General features: G+C 46.3%; 1 protein-coding gene across 3 annotated transcripts in view; it reads left to right on the top strand.

Annotated features, from left to right (window-relative positions):
- The window catches only part of TBL1Y (transducin beta like 1 Y-linked), a 180,987-nt gene that overhangs the window by 156,110 nt on the left and 4,249 nt on the right, over positions 1-20,628 (top strand). For all 3 annotated transcript variants that reach the window (NM_033284.2, NM_134259.2, NM_134258.2), the window contains 9 exons: positions 3,390-3,522; positions 3,914-4,055; positions 4,754-4,817; positions 4,927-5,024; positions 7,754-7,814; positions 13,926-14,047; positions 19,092-19,166; positions 19,484-19,611; positions 20,461-20,626. In NM_033284.2, the coding sequence (NP_150600.1) occupies positions 3,390-3,522; positions 3,914-4,055; positions 4,754-4,817; positions 4,927-5,024; positions 7,754-7,814; positions 13,926-14,047; positions 19,092-19,166; positions 19,484-19,611; positions 20,461-20,626 (989 nt within the window). The remainder of the gene's footprint in view (positions 1-3,389; positions 3,523-3,913; positions 4,056-4,753; positions 4,818-4,926; positions 5,025-7,753; positions 7,815-13,925; positions 14,048-19,091; positions 19,167-19,483; positions 19,612-20,460; positions 20,627-20,628) is intronic.

A 20,628-nucleotide genomic window follows, 5' to 3' on the forward strand; every position in this document is an offset into this window, starting at 1 on the left:
AGAAAATGTAGAAATCAGCCAGGTGGGGTGGCACATGCCTGTAGTCCGAGGTACTCAGGGGGCTGAGTGGGGAGGATCACTTGAGCTCAGGGGGTGGAGTCTACAGAGAACTGCGATAGCACCACTGCACTCCAGCCTGTGCAACAGAGCAAAACACTGTCTCAAAAAATTAAAAGTAGAAAGAACTTTTTTTCCTGCTACTTGCGAGAAAAGTAGCCACTTTCCAGGCTGGTTTTCCTGACCATGGCATTTAAGGTTTGTCTCCATCATAAATGAACCTACCCAGGAGCCCAAAACCATTAATCTATGGCACTCCCAGGTTAGGCTCCTTCAATTTGAAGTCCTGGTGGTTCTGCCTGGACTGAGAATTCTGATATGGAACAGGAGCTGTGGCTCATGCCTGTAGTCACACTGCTTTGGAAGGCTCAGGTGGGAGAATCGCTTGAGCCTAGAAGTTCAAGACAACATAGCAAGGCCCCGTATCTACAAAAAGTTTTAAAAATTACCTGGGGGTAGCAGCATGTGTCTGTAGTCCCAGCTCCTCAGGAGGCTGAAGCAGGAGGATTGCTCGAGCTGGGAAGGTTGAGGCTGGAGTGAGCCATCAAGGCAAGACACTGCAGTGTAGCCTGGGTGACACAGCACAGACCCTGTCTCTAAAAAGAAAATTTTCAAAAGAAAGTGGCTCCAATAAGAAAACAGCACTTGAGCCCATGGGCTTGGTGTTTGAAGGCAGGGGACATTTGGAAGGAATGATGGTATTTACCAGTGGGAACTTCCTACATGCAGAAACGATGCCACAGAAAGGTACATTTTAATGAAATGTCTTGTTTTATCAAAAACACAGGAAACTTCCAGCTGGTACTTGTCATCCTAAGCCACCTTTGTACACATGGTTATTAGATGATATTTGTCTGATTCCTGTAGAAGAGGAGGTGTGATTCATGAGCCTCTATAGAACCCACTGTGCATAAGATCAAAGAAAGGCAGCATTCAGTTCAGCATTCCTGGTCACTTTACACACCAGTGTAAAGTGGACACTCAGCCTTCTTATCAGCAGCCCCTCAGAGATGCTTGGTGTCCTATAAAGACAGGTATTGGATTTTTTAAATTTATTTTTTAGCAGTTGAATAGTCATAGTGTAAAAATTGCTCAGACCTAGTGCACCTTCTACCAACAAACTCTCACACCAGAAGAGCTATTTAAAACTAGAGCAGGCCAGGCGCGGTGGCTCATGCCTGTAATCTCAGCACTTTGGGAGGCTGAGGCGGGCAGATCACCTGAGGTCGGGAGTTCGAGACCAGCTTGACCAACATGGAGAAACCCCATCTCTACTAAAAATACAAAAATGAGCTGGGTGTGGTGTTGCATGTCTGTAATCCCGGGTACTTGGGAGGCTGAGGTAGGAGAATCGCTTGAACCCAGGAGGTGAAGGTTGCAATGAGCCGAGATTGTGCCATTGCACTCCAGCCTGGGCAACAAGATCGAAACTCCATCTCAAAAAAACAAACAAACAAACAAAAAAACCCCAAAATCAAAAACAAAAAAAAAGTACAGCTGAGACAATCGGGCCCTTTTCCTGGGATCCATGCTTGGAATCCATTGTGCTGTGACATACATGTGCCTTGCCCAGAACATTAGCCGTCCCACTGACCACTGCTCCAGATGGGCTGCTTACCTGGTTTATACCTCCCCCAGAGACCAACTCCCAACTATAGGCATTGGATGGGTGCTTAGTGCTTCTCCCTGCAACCTTCTGTCTAGACTGTGTCAATGCATTAGTCGCTACCCCTGAGTGCCTGGCTTTGTCTCCCCTGTGCATGTGGCCAGTCCTAACTAGTCCACCCTGGCAGAAATTCTAGAACAGCCACCATGACCACCTAATGAGACCTTGCACCCTGTTTGTGAGCCACAGCCTGGCCTATTGAGGCAGGAGTTTTTGAAGGCTGCATTTTGGTAAGAGTGCAGCCTCTGACAGCTGTGCCTCCTCTCAGTTACCAGGACCCCAACCACTGCATAGCTATCTAGTATACCAATTGCCCTCTTGCCATCGCCATGAACAACTCTGTTATATGGGGAAAGACATTTTTCCTCTCTTCCTGCCAGATGACACCTTCAGAGAATGAAAGAGTCACCAACATTGAAGAGTTTCACTGTTACGTAACTTTTTTTATTAGGGTTCTTGAGCCAAGCAGAATGGCAAGAGATTTTTTTATTTTTTAAATGTAGAAAATACTCCTTCCTCAGTGGCAGGTAACCAACCTAAGATCACATTGCTTCTCTTTCCCAAGTTTTCAGTCAAAATGCCTTGATGAAGGACATAACGAAACATGCTTAATTCCTCACCATATCGTGAAACTGTTAACCGTTGCTAATTCTTTGATCATCAGGCTATATTGCTGCTTTCTCATGAGCATAAACTGGGGGTAGCAAACTTTCTATACAGGAACAGACAGTAAATGTCTCAGGCTTTGAGGGTCATGCAGCCTGTCACAGCTGCTGAAGTCTGTCATAGTACAAAAGCAGCTATGAGAGTCATCTCAGGCTGCCTTAACAAAAGGCCACAGACCAGGCAGTTTAAGAATTTGCTGTCATGATTCTGGAGGCTGGAGGTCTGAGATCAAGGTGAGGGCAGGGATGGTTCCTTTCTTAGGCCTCTCTCCTTGGCTTGTGGATGCTGTCTTCTCCCTGTGTCCACACGTGGTTGTACCTCTGTGGGTGTCTGTATCCTAATCCCCTCTTTTCATGAGAACAGCAGTTGCGGAATGACTATCTGCTAGCCACACTTTATTTATGCAGAAGCAGCTGGTGGCTAGATTTTGTCCATGAGCTATAATTTGCTGGCCTCACTCACAAAGAGTAAATAATTGTTTTGGAGAGGCAGTTTAGAGACAGGGCCTTGCTCTGTCCCCTAGGCTGGGTTCAGTGGCATAATTATGCCTCACTGTAGCCTCTCCCTCCTGGGCTCAATCAATCCTCCCATGTCAGCCTCCTGAGTAGCTGGGGCTACAGGCATATGGCACTGTGCCTGGGTAATCTTGCAATTTTTTTGTAGAAACGGGGTCCTGCAAAATTGCCTGGGTTGGTGTTGAACTCCTGGCCTCAAGCAGTTTACTGTCCTTGACCTCCCAAAGCATTGGGATTATAGGTGTGAGCTACCACACCAGGTCAGATTCTCTGTTTTTATTTCTCAGTGAGGTTTAGAGACTGTGAAATTATAAAGCAACCTGATATGTTTGCTAAACTGCACAAAAGCCACAATTTAGTTAGACTCGTTAGAGGTAGTGTTACTTAGTACGTAAAAACAAGGTGTTTCTGGAAACAAAAGTGCCCTTTAAATGCCTTCCTCTTGTATTGGTAAGCCATATGTCTCTTTGTGTTTCCTATGACAGATAATCACTCAAAGCCAATGGAAATAGATGGGGATGTTGAGATTCCACCCAACAAAGCCACAGTCCTTCGGGGCCACGAGTCTGAGGTGTTCATTTGTGCCTGGAACCCTGTCAGTGATTTGCTAGCCTCTGGGTAAGGAAGTCAGGATGGGGGCACTCCAGGGTCAGGGAGACGCAAGCTGCTTGCCCTTCCCTGGAGTTCTGCCTTGAGGAACGTGCACTCCACTTCTTATCCCAATGTGGGCAGACCCAGGAATGGGCTGCTCTTTGAGCCACCTCTATACGTGTCTCGTATTGTGAAGAAGCCTTAGTTCCGAGTCATTTTCTCCATGGAGTGAGGAGCAATACAAGGCAGTTAAATTTACCAAATGCAAAGATGACAAGGAGGGAAACAGGGATCCACTGGTATGATAAAGACAGAAGAGCACATGCCTACAATGTCACCTGGCCAGAGAGCAAGCTGCAGTGAGCTTCTCATCCCATTTGAACCAAATACCGGAGGCTTCTGTGTTTTTATTCTGTAGATCTGGAGACTCAACTGCAAGGATATGGAACCTGAATGAGAATAGCAACGGGGGCTCCACCCAGCTCGTGTTGAGACATTGTATACGAGAAGGGGGGCACGACGTCCCAAGTAATAAAGATGTCACCTCACTGGACTGGAACGTAAGCATCTTCCACCCCCTGGGCACTTTGAAATTGGTAAAATCTGCCAGCCAGGCATGGGCTGCAGTGATGGAATGTGTGCAGACATAGGAGGCAGGTGGTCCCATGTACTCAGGCCCAACCTGGAGGGCTAGCCACAGAGGTGGTCTTGGCTTCTAACAGCTCTTAATAAGGCCACGTCAGGCAGACAGTGAGCTGGTTGTTTGGTAGCCATATCTTTGCATCGTGAACATGTCTTAGCAAAATGAGCCTGTGGTCTCATGGTGGGGAAATAGGCTGGGAGCTATGAGGTATTTCTCCTGGGGAGACAAGAGGTGCAGTCTAGGAAAGGTGCCTCTTCACCTTAGGATTTCAGCAACAAGTGTCATGTGCATTGACACATGGAATGCACACAGTTCCACTGCTTTTTATTTCCTGCAAAGCGTCATGATAACTTTCATCATGGTGTTTTTAGTTCCGTCACTCATTAGAGAACACAAAGTGGTGAATGGTTCCATTGTGTTTTCATTGCTCCCTTGTCTCCTTGGTCTTCATGCCGCATATTTGATTTAAGAGCAGGGTGTGCTAACATTGCATGGCACCAACTATTGCCTGAAGAACCCTCTGGACTTGGGATCCTGAGAGAGGCTCTCTGAGCTTCTTTGGTGCTCCCACTCCTAAGCTGTTTTTCTGAGTTTGTATCTCTTTCTGGCCCTCAGAGTGATGGAACACTATTGGCTATGGGTTCATATGATGGTTTCGCAAGAATATGGACAGAAAATGGTAAGTCCTGCACCCCTCCTGCATGGGTCAGGTAAGAGGAGCTGCCATACATAACCCTTGATTGAACAGACCATGACAACAGAATCAACATGTTTGTTTTTACTAACAGGTAACCTGGCCAGCACCTTAGGCCAACATAAAGGCCCCATCTTCGCTCTGAAATGGAACAAAAAGGGGAATTATGTTTTGAGTGCTGGTGTAGACAAAGTGAGTATTAGCTTAAAATATGCCCCTTTATCTATAGGTGCTTATTTACTATTTTTCTTTTTCTGTTTTAGGGGGGTGGGGAGTGGGGGAACAGAGTCACTCTGTTGCCCAGACTGGAGTGCAGTGGCACCATCTCAGCTCACTGCAGCCTCCGCCTCAGCAGGGTTCAAGTAATCCTCCTGCCTCAGCCTCCTGAGTAGCTGGGATTACAGGCACCCACCATCATGCTCAGCAAATTTTTATATTTTCAGTAGAGACAGGCTTTTGCTATATTGGCCAGACTGGTCTTGAACTCCTAGGCTCAAGTGACTTTTCTGCCTCGGTCTCCCAAAGTTCTGGGATTACAGGTATGAGCCGCTTTGCCTGGCCAATGATTTTTTTAAATCTCAAAATCTTGGCTTCTTGGATCTCTTAGGCTTTGTGCTTCCATTTAAGAAATGAAAACGATTTGTTTAGGCTTTATTTTTGTGGTTTTGATCTTTCATATATTAAGAGATGTAGCATATCATCTCTTAATATATTCTGCTGTTCTGCAGACCTCTGTGCAAAACTTCACTTTATTTGAGCTACATGGTTCAGTGATAGAGAGAGGAAGATCTCCACATTGCATTTGTTAGTTGCTGGAAGGAGCCATGTGATGTGAGGCCTGCACTGCCTGAACTTTCACCCACTGAGGAACTTGAGTAGCACAGGCTGTGTGTGTTTCTCAGGCTTCAGGTATCCTCATTTGATCAACTGCTGCTTCTCAAAGTAGACAGTAGATTTCTCAGAGCAGGAATCTAGCAACCTGGGCACAAGGGCATACTCCCCAGATGGCCTACGAAGCCGTTTAGAATTGACTTGCTGTGCCCCTGGGCAGGTCTACGGGGAGCCATGGTGGCATTAACTCCAGGTTCCTCTAAAAGCCATCAGTAGGGTGGGAACCCAGGGTGAAGAGGAAGGGGATGCAGACTTTATCACAGCCCTGAATCTGAGTTATCCAGAAATCTTGGCCTCTGTGGATTTTACTTTCCTCCTATGTCCAGTGGCAGGGCTAGCTGGAATGGTGACCCCAAACAGCCTTCCTGGAACAGTTGTGCATTCCCAAGACTCAGCAAGAATTCTAAGCCATGGCTTCAGAAAAGAATCATTATGTAGAATTGAGAGAGAAAATAAAAGATGTTTGTTTTTACATCAATTTGTGTTTCTACAACTGAACAATGCTCAGGCTTCCACGAGACTTTGCATTTTGTGATGATTTCGGGATAACTTGAAAACCTTAAGTAACAGCTTTCTGTTCGAAGTTATTATAAAATGACAGTCTTGACCTCTAAACATTGTCCCACTCCTAGAGAAGTCATAATTGCATTTGTCAAACTGTGGCCCACACAAGTCAAGTCTGGCCCCTCATTTGTTTCTTTAAGTAAAGTTTTATTGGTACACAGTCACACTCCTTTGTTGACACTTGTCCGTGGTTGCTTTCATGCTACAACAGCAGAGGTGAGCAGTTATAAGGGAGACCAGATGGCCCTCAAAGCCTGAAATTCCTACTACCTGGCCTTTGACAGAAAAAGCTTGCAGACCCCTGCACTAGGATATAACTAGGTTAAGAAATCATTCATTCATAAGGTCTTTCTCTCTCTCTCTCTCTCTCTCTCTCTGTCTCTCGTTAACTCATCCAGTACTGCCCAGATAGGACACAGGCACAAGTATGATGAGTTTATATATTCTCTGCAATGTTAGATGGCTTTGACATGGCTAAATTAAGTTATATGCCAACAAATAAAGTAATGCTAATTGGTTGAGGGCTGACCCAAAACCCAAGATTAGCAAGTTTCAAAGACACTTCTTAGTTTCCTTTAAAAATGCTCACAGTCAACATAAAATAGGACTCAGTCTTAAAGCAAAATCTTGACTGACAGAGAGATGTAAACTTTATAATTAAGTTGAAAATTCCAGCTGATGAAGACAACATTCTAATGCTATTCATTGAACTGCTTCTCTAAATAATATTCCCAGCATCAGTATAAGTCCATAAGAATTCATGATCTACTTCATTTTTTGAGGTGGAAATCACCTTTTCTCCATCCTGACAGACCTGTACATTGATGCCCAGCCCCAGTGCAAGCCAGTGGCTCTGTCCCCATTTCTAGTGCCCCCAGTTCCTGGAATCACAGGCAAGGGCATTTTTAGAAATGACCTTTTATGCAGCCCTGCACTTGGAAAAGTGCCAAAATATCTTTAGAGATGATTTGTTCTAGGTTTTTCAACAGTTTTCTGCACTTGGGGATGAGGAAGAATCTCCACCAATTTTGGTATTCTTGCAAGTATTGGTTAGGCTTGCCCTGACCTTAAAACAGACACCAGCATCTGTGGCTGATGGGCTTATCAAATGTGGCTGTCCAGATTGTTAAGTGTGAAACATGGCGTGCTTCAAAGAGTTAGGATGGAAGAAAAAGAATGCAGATAGTGCAGTAAGAGTTTGACACTGATTACATGTTGAGATGGTATTATTTTAGGCGTATGGGAGTGAAATAAAAGATTGTTAATGAATTTTACCAGTTTTTTTTTTAACTTTTAATATGGATCCTAGAGAATTAAAATTAACCCATGAGGCTTGCTTTCTATCTGTATTGGACAGTCCTGGTTTATAAGGAGAGAGGCTCACTGTCTTTTCTTGTATGATACATGTTACTAGAGTAAACTTTGTGGGAGTAATTACTAACTTTTCCTTTGTTTGCGGAGCACAGACAACAATAATTTGGGATGCTCACACAGGAGAAGCCAAACAGCAGTTTCCTTTTCATTCAGGTGAGTCTTTATGTTTGTGTTTTGTAATTTGAAAATAATTCAAAATTAGGCTGGGTGCAGTGGCTCACATCTATAATCCAAGCACTTTTGAAGGCTGAGACGTGAGGCCCACTTGAGTCTCATGTCTCAAGTGAGACTCCTAGACGTGGTCTAGGAGTTCAAGACCAGCCTGGGCAATATAGCAAGACCCTGTCTCTACAAAACATGAGATGGGATGGGACGGGATGGGTTGGGACAGGACGATGAGGTAGCCGGACATGGTGCCACACACCTGTAATCTCAGCTACCCAGATGACTTTAGACTGATTTAAAATGGACAAAAGGGGGTAGGTGACACTTCCATTAATGACGAATGTCTGATCCATCTTGAGGGAATCCCTCAATGTATGCAGCAAAAGTTGATTATTTTATCAGCTGTCCCTGGAGCATGGTCCAGGAGGATATCTGAGTGTCTTTCTTGTTGGACAGTTGGGGTGCTTAAATGATGTTCTGAATGGGAGGGTAACCTCCAGGACTGTCCAAGATGGCGTAGCCCATCTCAGTGCCTGGGGAGGACTGCAAGCAGAGGACATGGGTCCTGCAGGAAACAAGATCATAAGCCAAAAGTCCTGTTGAGGCATGATGTGTAGGCGTCCACATCTGTTATTCCACGCAGTACTGTAGCAGGGACTCAATGAGCTTCCTCATACAGGCAGCTCAGAGAGTAAGGGAGACCCAGTGAGGACACTGTTTCTGCTCTGCTGTCCTGGAGAGGGAGAGAATCTCTTCTGTGGCCAATCCTGTACAGCTTTGGACCTACACCAAATACACCTCTAGGGCTGCTGGTGAAATTCTTTATTGGTGTTGCTTTAATTGAACACCATTGATGAGGTAGATGGTGCTGAGCATACTGGAGACAAATGGCTCCAAATGGAGGCAGCACATGCATGACCTCATCCAGGAATGTTCTTCACCCTAAAATGGAAACCCCCTACCTATTCAGTCTTTCCCCTGCCCCCTGGCAACCCCACTTACAGCTTGTGATCTCTATGTCATCTCCATGCCAGACAATTGCTACTCTGTGTTCTAGACTGTGCAAATCAAAGCAGCTGTCTAGTGAGAATGCCATTACTGCTAGAGTTCCATCACATGGCTTAAATGTCAAAATCTACCTTTGCGGACAGGAAGGGTTCCGTAACAAATTCACATCCCTAGAATACCAGACATGCAGACCTGGGGAGTAAGGGGGGATGTCTAATGCAGAAAGATCTGACTTCTGTTTTTCAGAGAAAAATATGCCCAAGGTAAACATCAGTGAGGTTCCTCTAATTCTTTTTTTTTTTTTTTGAGACTGAGTCTCACTCCATCACCCAGGCTGCAGTAGAGTGGCTCAATCTCGGCTCAGTGCAACTTCCACCTCCTGGGTTCAAGCAATTCTCCCACCTCAGCCTCCCAAGTAGCTGCAATTAGAGGCACCCGCCACCACACCCAGCTAATTTTTGTATTTTTAGTAGAGATGGGGTTTTGCCATGTTGGCCAGGCTGGTCTCGAACTCCTGACCTCAGGTGATCCACCTGCCTTGGCCACCCACAGTGCTGGCATTGCAGGTGTGAGGTACCGCACATGGCCAAGTTTCTCTAATTCTTCTATCTTAGGAATTTGTGTTGTCTTTCAGCAGAAAATAATCCTTCCCAAAGTGACCCCAGAGACTGATGGAAGGATTTTCTCCCCGCTGGCCCAACAAGACCACAAACTGCATGTTCTGAATTGCATGAGCTTCTTCTTACCTATAATCTGGCTGGCCACGAGGTAGATCCAATTCCCATCAGTAGGTAGGATATGTCTAGGCATTTCTTGCTTGCTGTTTGGTGTCAGGCAGTTCAAGATGAAGAGAAAGAAGCTCACTCTTCCAGGAGGAACACAGCTGTGAAGAGCTGTGAGGAGTGCCTTCTGTGGCTGTGGCAGGCTTGTGTTTTCCCCATGTTTCCATTTATGTAACATTGTCACTATGATAAAATGATAGAGGCTGGGTGCAGTGGCTCATGCCTGTAATCTCAACATTTTGGGAGGCTGAGGCAAGTGGATCATCTCAAGTTAGGAGTTTGAGACCAGCCTGACTGACATGGTGAAACCCTGTCTCTATTAAAAACAAAAAATTAGCCGACCTGGTGGTGGGCACCTGCAATCCCAGCTTCTCAGGAGGCTGAGGCAGGAGAATCCCCTCAATCAAGGAAGAAGAGGTTCAAGAGCTGAGATCGTGCCACTGCACTCCAGCATGGGCAACAAGAGCAAGACTCCATCTCAAAAAAAAAAAAAAAAAAAAAAAAAAAAGAGAGAGAGAGAGAAACCAGGGACTGAGCAGTGGTGCAGGAGTTTGGGAAGGGTGTGAGGAACAGTGGCCTGCTGATACAGTAGCATGAGGGAGATCTTAGTGAGGATGGAACACTGTGGGTCTCAATTGCAGCCGTACACATCTACCCATGTGAAAAAATGACACAGAGCACTCTATAGGCAAATTGCATCAATGTCAACTTTCCAGTCTTTATACAAGTCTACAGCTACACAAAAAGTAATTATTATAGGAACCTGGATGAAGGAGACAGAGGACCTGTCTGTGTTACCTTTGAAGCTTCCTGTAAATCTCTTAGTATTTCCGAAGGAAAATGTTGGACTGGGCCCAGAAGAATTAGGGCTATTGAAGCACACTGGCCTATGCATGGCAGGGAGGGCAGAGTCCCCCAGCATAGCTCAGCCCTCTTACTGGCCATTCACCCATATGGTTCCAAGCATCCTGGCTGCTGGAGCTGACTCAGAGTAGGGCCAACTGCCTGAGGACAAGGGGCCTTCCTTTTAGATGGGAGAGTCATCAAGTGCTGGTCACCATCTTCTGGACTGCTCACCACATTGTCACATTTCCAGGTATATTAATTGCATGCCTGAAGCAGAGACTGGACCAGGAATTTGCCATTTACCTCAGGCAATGTTGTAAACAAGAACTAGGAAAATGGGTCAAGAACTGTCATGAAACATGCTCCTGAGGAAGCAATGAAAGAGATGATCTCGGCTGTGGAAAAGACTACTGTTGACACCCATATCTTCCTACACACACCTTCTGCCTGGGGGTGAAGCTGGATGGGGAAGTGAATGGGGTCCCTGCACTAATGGACAATAAACTCATGGAGGGTCGCACCTCTCATTTAGAGACTGAGGAAGGGCCAGGGCAATCGATATTCAGAGAAAGCTGGATTCTTCTCAGTTCAGCATTGACTGCCTTTAAGAAATGCACACAGCTGGACACAGTGGCTCACTCCTGTAATCTCAGCACTTTAGGACATCAGCATGGGAGAATTGCTTGAGGCCAGCAGTTTGAGACCAGCCTGCACAACACAGCAAGACCCTGTCTCTGCCAAAAACCATTGTTTTTAAATGAGCCAGGCATGGTGGCTCACACTAGCAGCCTAGCTACTCTGGAGGCTGAGGTGGGAAGATCAAGTGAACCCAAGAGTTCAAGGCTCTAGTGAGCTATGATTGTGCCACTGCACTCCAGCGTGGATGACAGAGCAAGACCACATCTGCAAAGGAAAAAAAAAAGACACATAAGATGGGCTTCTGTATTGGTCAGTTGTTGAGGACATTGTGGCCAGAGCCTAGCAGAAGTTAACCCTCTATTTTCCCTAGAAGCAATTCTTCAGTGTTGGCTAATTCAGTGTTTGCAGCTAGCTTGGGAAATATAACTTGGCAAACAACAGAATGGACCATACTATTTAGGAAAACCAATGAGAGTTCTTGGTTGGGCATTCTTGTAGAATTGCCATAACCCCACCTTCTCTCCTGGTACATCATGGAGCCCACTCAGTAGCTAAAAGTAATTTCCACTGGCTTGTGTGGGAAGCACAGGGATAGAAGAGCTGGTCAGATGTTGATGGGTAGCCCTCAAAACCCAGAGCTCCCTGCTCCTTAAGGCATTACCCTCTTTAATTAGCATGAACCCTAGGAAGGGAGAGCCTTTCTCTGCATTTTACATGTAATTGAACACAGTACTTTTCACATCCCTAAGTTAGTCCCTTTGATAATCAGGGTTTTGTGCACACAGCTGGGTTCAGAGGTCCTCTACATATGAAAAGTCTCATGATGATCCTTAATAAGAGAGTGGGTTGCTCAGAGTCTTCAGGGGAAAAGAGGAGATTGTTTGAGAAGGCACCTCTTCCCCTGTGTCCTCCCATCTTGGCATCCCATGGCCTTTTTTCTTGCTTATCAGTTCTCTGTCATGAGGTGGGAGTGAGTCTAGGGAGTGCTTTGCTGGCATGGCCCCTGCAGTGGAGAGAGGCCAGGGATCTGAGCACAGCATGCCTGCTGGCCCCTAGGAATGCCAGTGATCCCTGCTGCCAGTGAGCATCTGAGAGGAAGGGAAATAGCCACTCACAGCCACAGCTTCTCACCCCCACCACTCTCTGCTAGAGGATAGGAGTGAGCAGTTGAAATCACAGTTCCCCAGACTCAAAAAAGGATGAGAGTGCAGGGTTGCACCTGCTATGGGAACTTCCACACCCCCAGCTCATTCCATGTCTTGGGCACTTTGCTGATCTCCTGAGATGCTTCATCTTGCTCATTTCCCCCCTTGTCTGGGACAACTTGCAACATCTGCGTCTGCAGCTGAGACTCCAGGAAGCCATTGACCTGCAGCTGCATGTCAGTAATGGGGCAGAATGAGGAATGAGGCCCAGTTGCTAGGACTTCAGTGCCCTTGCTGTCACCCATATTTCCAGTGCCTCTCAGGACATGGTCCAGCATTGTGAAGTCAGACCTTCTGAGGACAGAACCAGAGCCTGGCTTTTAACTAGGGCCCTGGACATTTTGGTGCATTGGGAAGTTGCCAGATTTCTAGTTTCCATCCTAGGAAAGAAACCAGAAGGGAGAGAACAAGACCCACAGCTGTAATTATACAACGGGAGTTCAGCTTTACGTTGTTCTGAACCACCTGGACCTGAGAAAGGCTCAAAGTCAGGGAGAGTGTTGGTCACAGGCCCTGAGGCATATGTCCTATTTCATCCCCAAAGGGTTTCTTGTTGACTGTAATTATCTCCCAGTCAGTGGGATGCATTAATGGATTTCAGGAGGCTTTTTTTTTACATATATTGAGGTATCTTGAAAATAGGGCAAGAAATTCTTCCTCTCCTTTTTTCTCCTTTCTGTCTGAAGTAGAATCAAATTAGCTCATTGCAGTGATACTGCTGGAAGCAGCCAGGTGCAGAGTAGGCAGGGCAGCTCTCTCACCTGCCCTTCTTATCTGTGCCATGGGAGCAGGAGATTCTGCAGGCCCTGGGGCACAGGAAATGTCATGAAGCCTTTTTTCTAGGACATCTTGTCATCCCTGCCAACATGGCAGGAGAGGGTCTTTAAGGTCTTGAAAGGAAGGAAGGAAGGAAACTGTGATCACACACGGGACTGTTTGTTTTTTTTTTTTTTTTTTTTTTTTTTTTTTTGGTGTTTTTTTGAGACAGGATTCTTGCTCTGTGGCCAGTCTGGAGTGCAGTGGTCCAATCTTGGCTCACTGCATCTCCATCTCCTGGGTTCAAGCCATTCTCCTGCCTCCATCTCTCAAGTAACTGGGACTACAGGCGTGTGCCACCACACCTGGCTAATTTTTGTATTTTTTAGTAGAAACTGGATTTCACCATGTTGGCCAGGATGGTCTTGATCTCAACCTCATGAACCTCCCACTTCGGCCTTCCAAAATGCTGGGCTTATAGGCATGAGAGGCCAAGGCCGGAGGATTGCTTGAGTTGAACACTAGCTTGGACCATGTAGGGAGACCCCATCTCTACAGAAAATTTTAAAATTAGCTTAGTGTGGTGGCATACACCTGTAGTCCCAGCTACTCGGGAGGCTGAGGCGGGAGGATTCCTTGAGGTTGGGACACTGAGGTGGGAGGACCTCTTGAGCCCAGGAATTTGAGGCTGCCATGAGCCGTTAAGCCACTGCACTCCAGCCTGGGTGACAGAGCAGGCCCTGTCTCTAGAATAAATAAATAAGTAAACTAAAGAGGCTTCTTGACTCTGCTGTTCATTGTTGTAAATCCATAGAGCTATGCACACAGTGAATAACTGCAGATGTCCTCCCTCCCTGCTGCAGCCCCCGCCCTTGATGTGGACTGGCAGAACAACATGACCTTTGCCTCCTGTAGCACAGACATGTGTATCCATGTGTGCAGGCTCGGCTGTGACCACCCAGTCAAAACCTTCCAGGGACACACAGTAAGTGAGAGCTCTTGTCACTGGTCTCGAGTTCATGAGAAGGTGATGTGGGAGCCAATTCTTGTATGCCTAGAATTAAAATATACTGCAGCAGCAGACCATTTCTTCTGCAGCCCTTGGCTGCTTGAGCTATAGTGGCCAATTCAGGTGGATGGATTCAACCACTTTGGGGTGTGCGTTGAGAACATTTGACCTGGAAATGGTGTAGTTGGTGGACTTGGCATCAAAGCCTATAAGGTAGCTATGAGAAAAACATAGGGCACATAAAGGAAGGGATGTTCACAATAAATGAATAGATGGGGCACATCTGCAATGAATGGAAAAAAATACGTCATTAAAAATCAAGGCTAGGAACAGTGGCTCACACCTATAATCCCAGTACTTTGGGAGGCTGAGGCCAGATAATTGCTCGAGGCCAGATAATTGCTTGAGTTCAAGTCCAGCCTGGGCAATACAACAAAACCCTGTCTCTGCAAAACAAATTTTAAAAATAAGCTAGGTGTGGTGGTGTGCACCTGTTGTCTCAGCCCAGGAGGTTGAGGCTGCAGTGACTGCGATCACACCACTGTACTCCAGCCTAGGCAACAGAGTGAGATCTGTTTAAATTAATTTTTTAAAAAAGGAAATTTGAGAACTGAGAAGTATAATGTCGCAATTGAAAATCTTAGTAGGTGGGTGTATTGGGCTGTTCTTGTATTGCTATAAACAAATACCTGTGACTGGGTAATTTATAAGATATTTAATTGTCTTAAAGTTTTGCACCTGTATAGAAAGCATCTGCTTCTGGGGAGGACTCAGGAAGCTTACAACCATGACAGAAGGTAAAAGGTGAGCAGGTGTCTCACGTGGCCAAAGTAGGAGCAAAAGAGAGGGGCTGTGGAGTATTACACACATTTAAACCACCATATCTCGTAAGAACTCACTCTCATGAACACAGCACCAAGCCATGAGGGATCTGCCCTCTTGATCCAAACACCTCCCACCAGGGCCCACCTCCAGCATTGGGATTACAATTCAACCTGAGATTTGGGTGGGGAAAAATATCCATCTTCATCAGTGGGTTTACTAGCAGGTTGAAGACTGCAGAAGTAAAGTTAGAGATCACAGAAATTTGCCAGTTTGAAGAACACATAAAAGACTGAAAAATGAATAGGGGCTTACGGGCCTGTGGGACAATATCAGGCAGCCTAAAGATGTGTGCATAATGGGGAAAGAAGAAAGAATGAAACAGGAAAATCATTTGAGGCAATAATGGCCAATTTTTTCTAAATTTGTTGGAAAACATCATTTAATTTGAGAAGCTCAGGAAATCTCAAGCAGAATAAATATGAACAGAACCACACCTACCCACCTAGGCATATGGTTATCAAACATCAAATTTAATGACAAAGAAAATCCTAAAAGCAAGCAAAGACTGAAAAAGGTCCTGTTGTATACCAAGGAACAACAATATGAATAGCAGCCAACTTAACAAATTCCTTACTGTGGGCTCTGAGGCTCTTTCTGGTCTTTTCATCAGATATCTCTCAAATTCTCCAATTGTTATGATCTCTTACCTTACTTCTGCAATCGCCGGTATACCATTAAACACATTTATTAGTCTCAGCCTCCTGGGCTAGTGTCCAAAACACCCTGTGCCTCTGTCTTCCTAAAGACATGTGCAGCCAAGCACCTCAACCCATGCTAAGGCCTTCCTGGAACAGTCCCTGACTTAGACTCCCACAGCAGCCCTCAGTCTGATACAGACTCTTCTCCATCCTCCAGGCCCATTTACATGTCCTGTGCACACCCCTGGGATAATTCATGGCACCTCCTGAGCTCTCATTGCCCATGTGAATACCACAGCCCTGACAGTGGCTGTTGGCCTGTGTGCCTGTCTCTCCCAGAAAATGCAGAGCACATCAACAGTGATCCCAGGAGGGCCCATGGCGTCTTGCCTTTCTCTCACCAGCATCCAGAATATCTTTCCTTGCTAGGAGCTGGGGGATCCCCTGTTAAAGCAGGAGAGGACGATCGCGTTCCTGGAGATTTGCCATCATGTCACTAACTTAACTGATGTAAATTCCATTTTTCTCTTTCCCCTAGTGCCCATCTCACCCCACCCCTGGGCCAAGGTTCCCCACCCCAAAGGAAGGCACTTTTAGAGCACAGGCATTTGTTATCCTGTTTACATCTCCTGGCTCCAAACTGACTCTTTTTCTGATCTAAATTTATTTCTCCTCTAACCCTGGACTATCCTCAAGTTTTTGAGAGAGCTGCACACACTGTTTCTGGTTCCCAACTGTCCTGCTCCAGACCTTGCCACCAGCATGGGACTTGACCCTTTAAGTGGGTCATACTGTGGCTGATGGCCCTAAACAAAGCTCCAAGTCACTGGGGTTGAGTGTAGACCTACAAGCCAGCTCTGGAGGCAACCCAGGAACTGGGACTTGGATTGGAGGCTGTAGGATCAACTCTCAAGAAAAAATGTGTTCCTTTATGTGAGTTTGGATGCAGACAGGCCAAGGTGACCAGCTCCACATTCTGGGCCTGTGGGATTTCCTTTCCACAGCTGCAGTGAGAGTCACTCTTGCTAGCCTAGCACCCACATTCACACTCACACATACTTAAGAATGCTCACTCTCTCAGCCCCCTCTTCAGTGGCCCCCTCCACCCTCCCTGGTCTCTCCCAGTAGTCTGCTCCCAGCACAAACATTCATGCTCACAGGCACTAAGCACATTCTCATCTCCCTCTTCAGCAGGCCCCTTCTGCCTCCCTGGGCTCTCCCAGCAGGCTGCTCCTGGGTCATATGTCCATGTTCATAGACACCTAAGCCTGCTCACACTGTCAGCCTCCTCTCCAACCGGTCTGCTGCACCCTTTCCAGATTCTCCCAGCAGCCTTCTGGAACAGACATCCATGCTCATAGACACATAAGCATGCTCACAGCCCCCTCTTCAATAGGCCTTGTCTGCCCTCCCCTCCATCCCAGCAGCCTGCTCCTGGAAGACACATCCATTCTCATAGACACCTTTGCAGGCTGACACTCTGTCAGGCCCCTCTCCAGCCAGCCCCCTCCACCCTCCCTGGGATTTCACAGCAGCCTATTCCTTGGCCATCACGCTTGTTTCTCCATTTCCTGGGCCACCCATACCACATAGAGCACACAGGTGGCTTGTCACTGTCCCGTTCACACCCTTCAAAACTCAGTGTCTGTGTCCTTAGAAAGTAACATGACCATACAGTTTACCATCCAAATTGGAGCCCTCAGGAGTTTGAAAATATTTAGAAAATTAATTTTCAGTGTGAAATTAGTTAATGCCAGGACAATAGGCATCAGATATTGGGCTGTCTGGGGCATATGGGACCCTATTGTCACCCCCCCAGAAAAGATCCTGCCCCATTTCTCCTGGGCAGGCTGTTCCCCAGCTGAACCTTTGCTGCAAATGGTTCTCTTTTGTTTGTTTGTTTGTTTGAGATGGAGTTTAGCTCTGTTGCCCAGGCTGGAGTGCAATGGCACGATCTCGGCTCACAGCAACCTCCCCATCCCAGGTTCAAGCGATTCTCTTGCCTCAGCCTCCCTAGTAGCTGGGACTACAGGCGCCCGCCACCACACCTAGCTAACTTTTGTATTTTTAGTAGAGACGGGGTTTCACCATGTTAGCCAGGATGGTCTTGATCTCTTGACTGCTTGATCTCTTGATCGTGATCCGCCCACCTTGGCCTCCCAAAGTGCTGGGATTAGAAGCATGAGCCACCGTGCCCAGCACAAGTGATTCTTTTATGTGTGTCTGTCCCAGTGTGTCCTTTTCTGCCTTGGTCCCTGGGTACTTTTGCCTTTATCCTCCAGGGTTTAGTCTCAGCGTACCCAGGTGTCCTGAGCCTGTGGGTTAGAGCGCTCACCCTGTGCTTTTAGGTACTTGGCTGTTTGCAGCGGATGAGGAGCCCCTGGCCAGGATTTTGCCTGTGTTGTGTGGCTTCTGCTGCTCAGCATTTGCCTCTCATTTCCCTTGCACATGTGTGTCTGCCTGTATGTGCATTTTGGTCACCCGTCTTTCACCTGAGTCAGCCCTTATCCTGCTTGAGCTCCACAATAGCTGAGGCTTCACTTCTTGTGTTTATCCCTCCCTCCACCTCCACTCACCGGCAGGAGAGCAATGCCTTGTAATGGGTGTAGACATGGGAAGGAACTGTTAGATTAAAGTGCATAGGAGACCTGGCATGGTAACACATGCCTGTAATCCCAGCACTTTGGGAGGCTGAGGCCAGAGGGTTGTTTGAGCCTGGGAGTTCAAGATCACCTTGGGCAACCCCATCTCTGTAAAAAATACACACACACACACACACACACACACACACACACAGACACACACACACACAGACACACACACAAAAAGCTGGGTGTGGTGGTGCCTGCCTCTCATCCCAGCTACCTACATTGGAGGCCAAGGTGGGGATTGCTTGAGCCCAGGAGTTCAAGACCAGCTTCAGCAACCCATCTCCATCAAAAGAGAAAAAAAAAGTAGCTGGGTGTGGTAGGGCCTGTCTTTAGTCCAAGCTAGAGGTTGAGGCAGGAGGATCACTTGAGTTCAGCAGGTCAAGGCTGCAGTGAGCTAGAATCGGGCCACTGAACTCAAACCTGGGCAACCGCGAGAGCTTGCCTCAAAAGTTAAAAAAAAAGAAAAAGAAAAAAAAAGGAAGAGTGCGTACGAAAGTAATTTTCAAAGCCCAGCTTTTAAAATAACTGGTTTTATTTGCTGTGTTTTATGGTATATGAATTCTTCACTTGCTTTCCTTCCTAGCAGGGAAGGTTTTCTTCTTAACAAAGTATGGATGAGAGTAGCTGGTGATGTGTGGTACAGGGCTGTGGTTTTACATAAATGAAAAAGGCAAAGTGAGAAAAAGAGGAAACTAGACGGCTGGTTGGGCTGTGCTCTTTGATGTCAGGCTGAGGCCTAAGACCTTCTGCAGCGACGGTGGCGCGCTGCTGCCCCCTGCTGGAAGGCGACCTCATCTACTCACAGGTCCTGATATATTTTTCAAGAGACTCTCCGCTCTGTTTCAGAACGAGGTCAATGCCATCAAATGGGATCCTTCTGGAATGTTGCTGGCGTCCTGCTCGGATGACATGACATTGAAGGTAGAGTCAGCATGGCAAGGGGTGGGCTGTTTAATCTCAGACAGCCTTGGGCACTTGACGTCAGTCTCACAGTCACACTTGCATGAGGATTATTTGTTACTGACCACGTTCCCTTCCTCTGTCATCCGGTGAACTCCAATTTCTCAGTCAGCGTCCTACTGAGAATCCCAGCCTCCCCGCATCCTTTCTCACCACTGCACACCCCATATCCCGCCGTGGGCCATTAGCCTCACTTATGCACCCCGGAGGAATGATGCCACATCATTCCCGGGTGCAGGAATGGCTTTTGCTCATGTTGTGGCCGGTGTGTCCTTTAGATCTGGAGTATGAAGCAGGATGCATGCGTCCACGATCTTCAGGCTCACAGCAAAGAGATCTACACCATCAAGTGGAGCCCCACCGGGCCTGCCACCAGCAACCCAAACTCCAGCATCATGTTGGCAAGGTAAGGGCCGGCAGCACAACTGGTACAGCTCCGCCCTACACAACGATAACAAGAAATTTTGCTCAAGTGTGTCTGTGCACCTGTGTTGAAGCCCTTCAGAGGAAACAAAGTGGTAGCTCACTTTGAAGGGGCCAAAACCATCCTACCTTTGAGGTTACCATGGTTTTGGCCCAGGTGCCATGGCTCACACCTGTAATCCCAGCACTTTTGGGGGCCGAGGTGGGCAGATGACAGGTCAGGAGTTCGAGACCAGACTGGCCAACATGGCAAAATGCTATCTCTACTAAAAAATACAAAAATTAGCTGGGTATGGTGGTGCATACCTGTAATCCCAGCTACTTGGGAGGCAGAGGCAGGAGAATCTCTTGAACCCAGGAGACGGAGGCTGCAGTGAGCCAAGACCACCCCACTGCACTCCAGCCTGGGCAATAAAAGTGAAACTCCGTCTCAGAAAACACAAAAATTCCTGTTGCTTGAAGAATATATATATATCTTTTATATATATATCTTATATATTTTATATATATGTCTTATATATATCTTATATATTTTATATATATCTTATATATTATATATCATATATTTTATATATATCATATATTATATTTTTTATATATCATATATTTTATATATCATATATATTTTATATATGATATATATCTTATATTTTTTATATAGCTTATATTTTTTATATATTTTATATACATATCTTATGTATATTTTATATATGTATGTTATATATTTTTTATGTATATTATATATATATAATATATATATGTAAAGAAAAACAGGGTCTCACCATGTTGCCCAGCCTGGTCTTCAACTCCTGGCTTTCTCCCATCCTCCTAGTGCTTCATTTGATTCTACAGTGCGACTGTGGGATGTGGAGCAAGGTGTCTGCACCCACACACTCATGAAGCATCAAGAGCCTGTCTACAGTGTAGCTTTCAGCCCCGATGGAAAGTACTTGGCTAGTGGATCCTTTGACAAGTATGTTCATATCTGGAATACTCAGGT

The sequence above is a fragment of the Homo sapiens genome, chromosome Y (assembly GCF_000001405.40).
Source record: "Homo sapiens chromosome Y, GRCh38.p14 Primary Assembly".
Taxonomy (NCBI): Eukaryota; Metazoa; Chordata; class Mammalia; order Primates; family Hominidae; genus Homo; species Homo sapiens.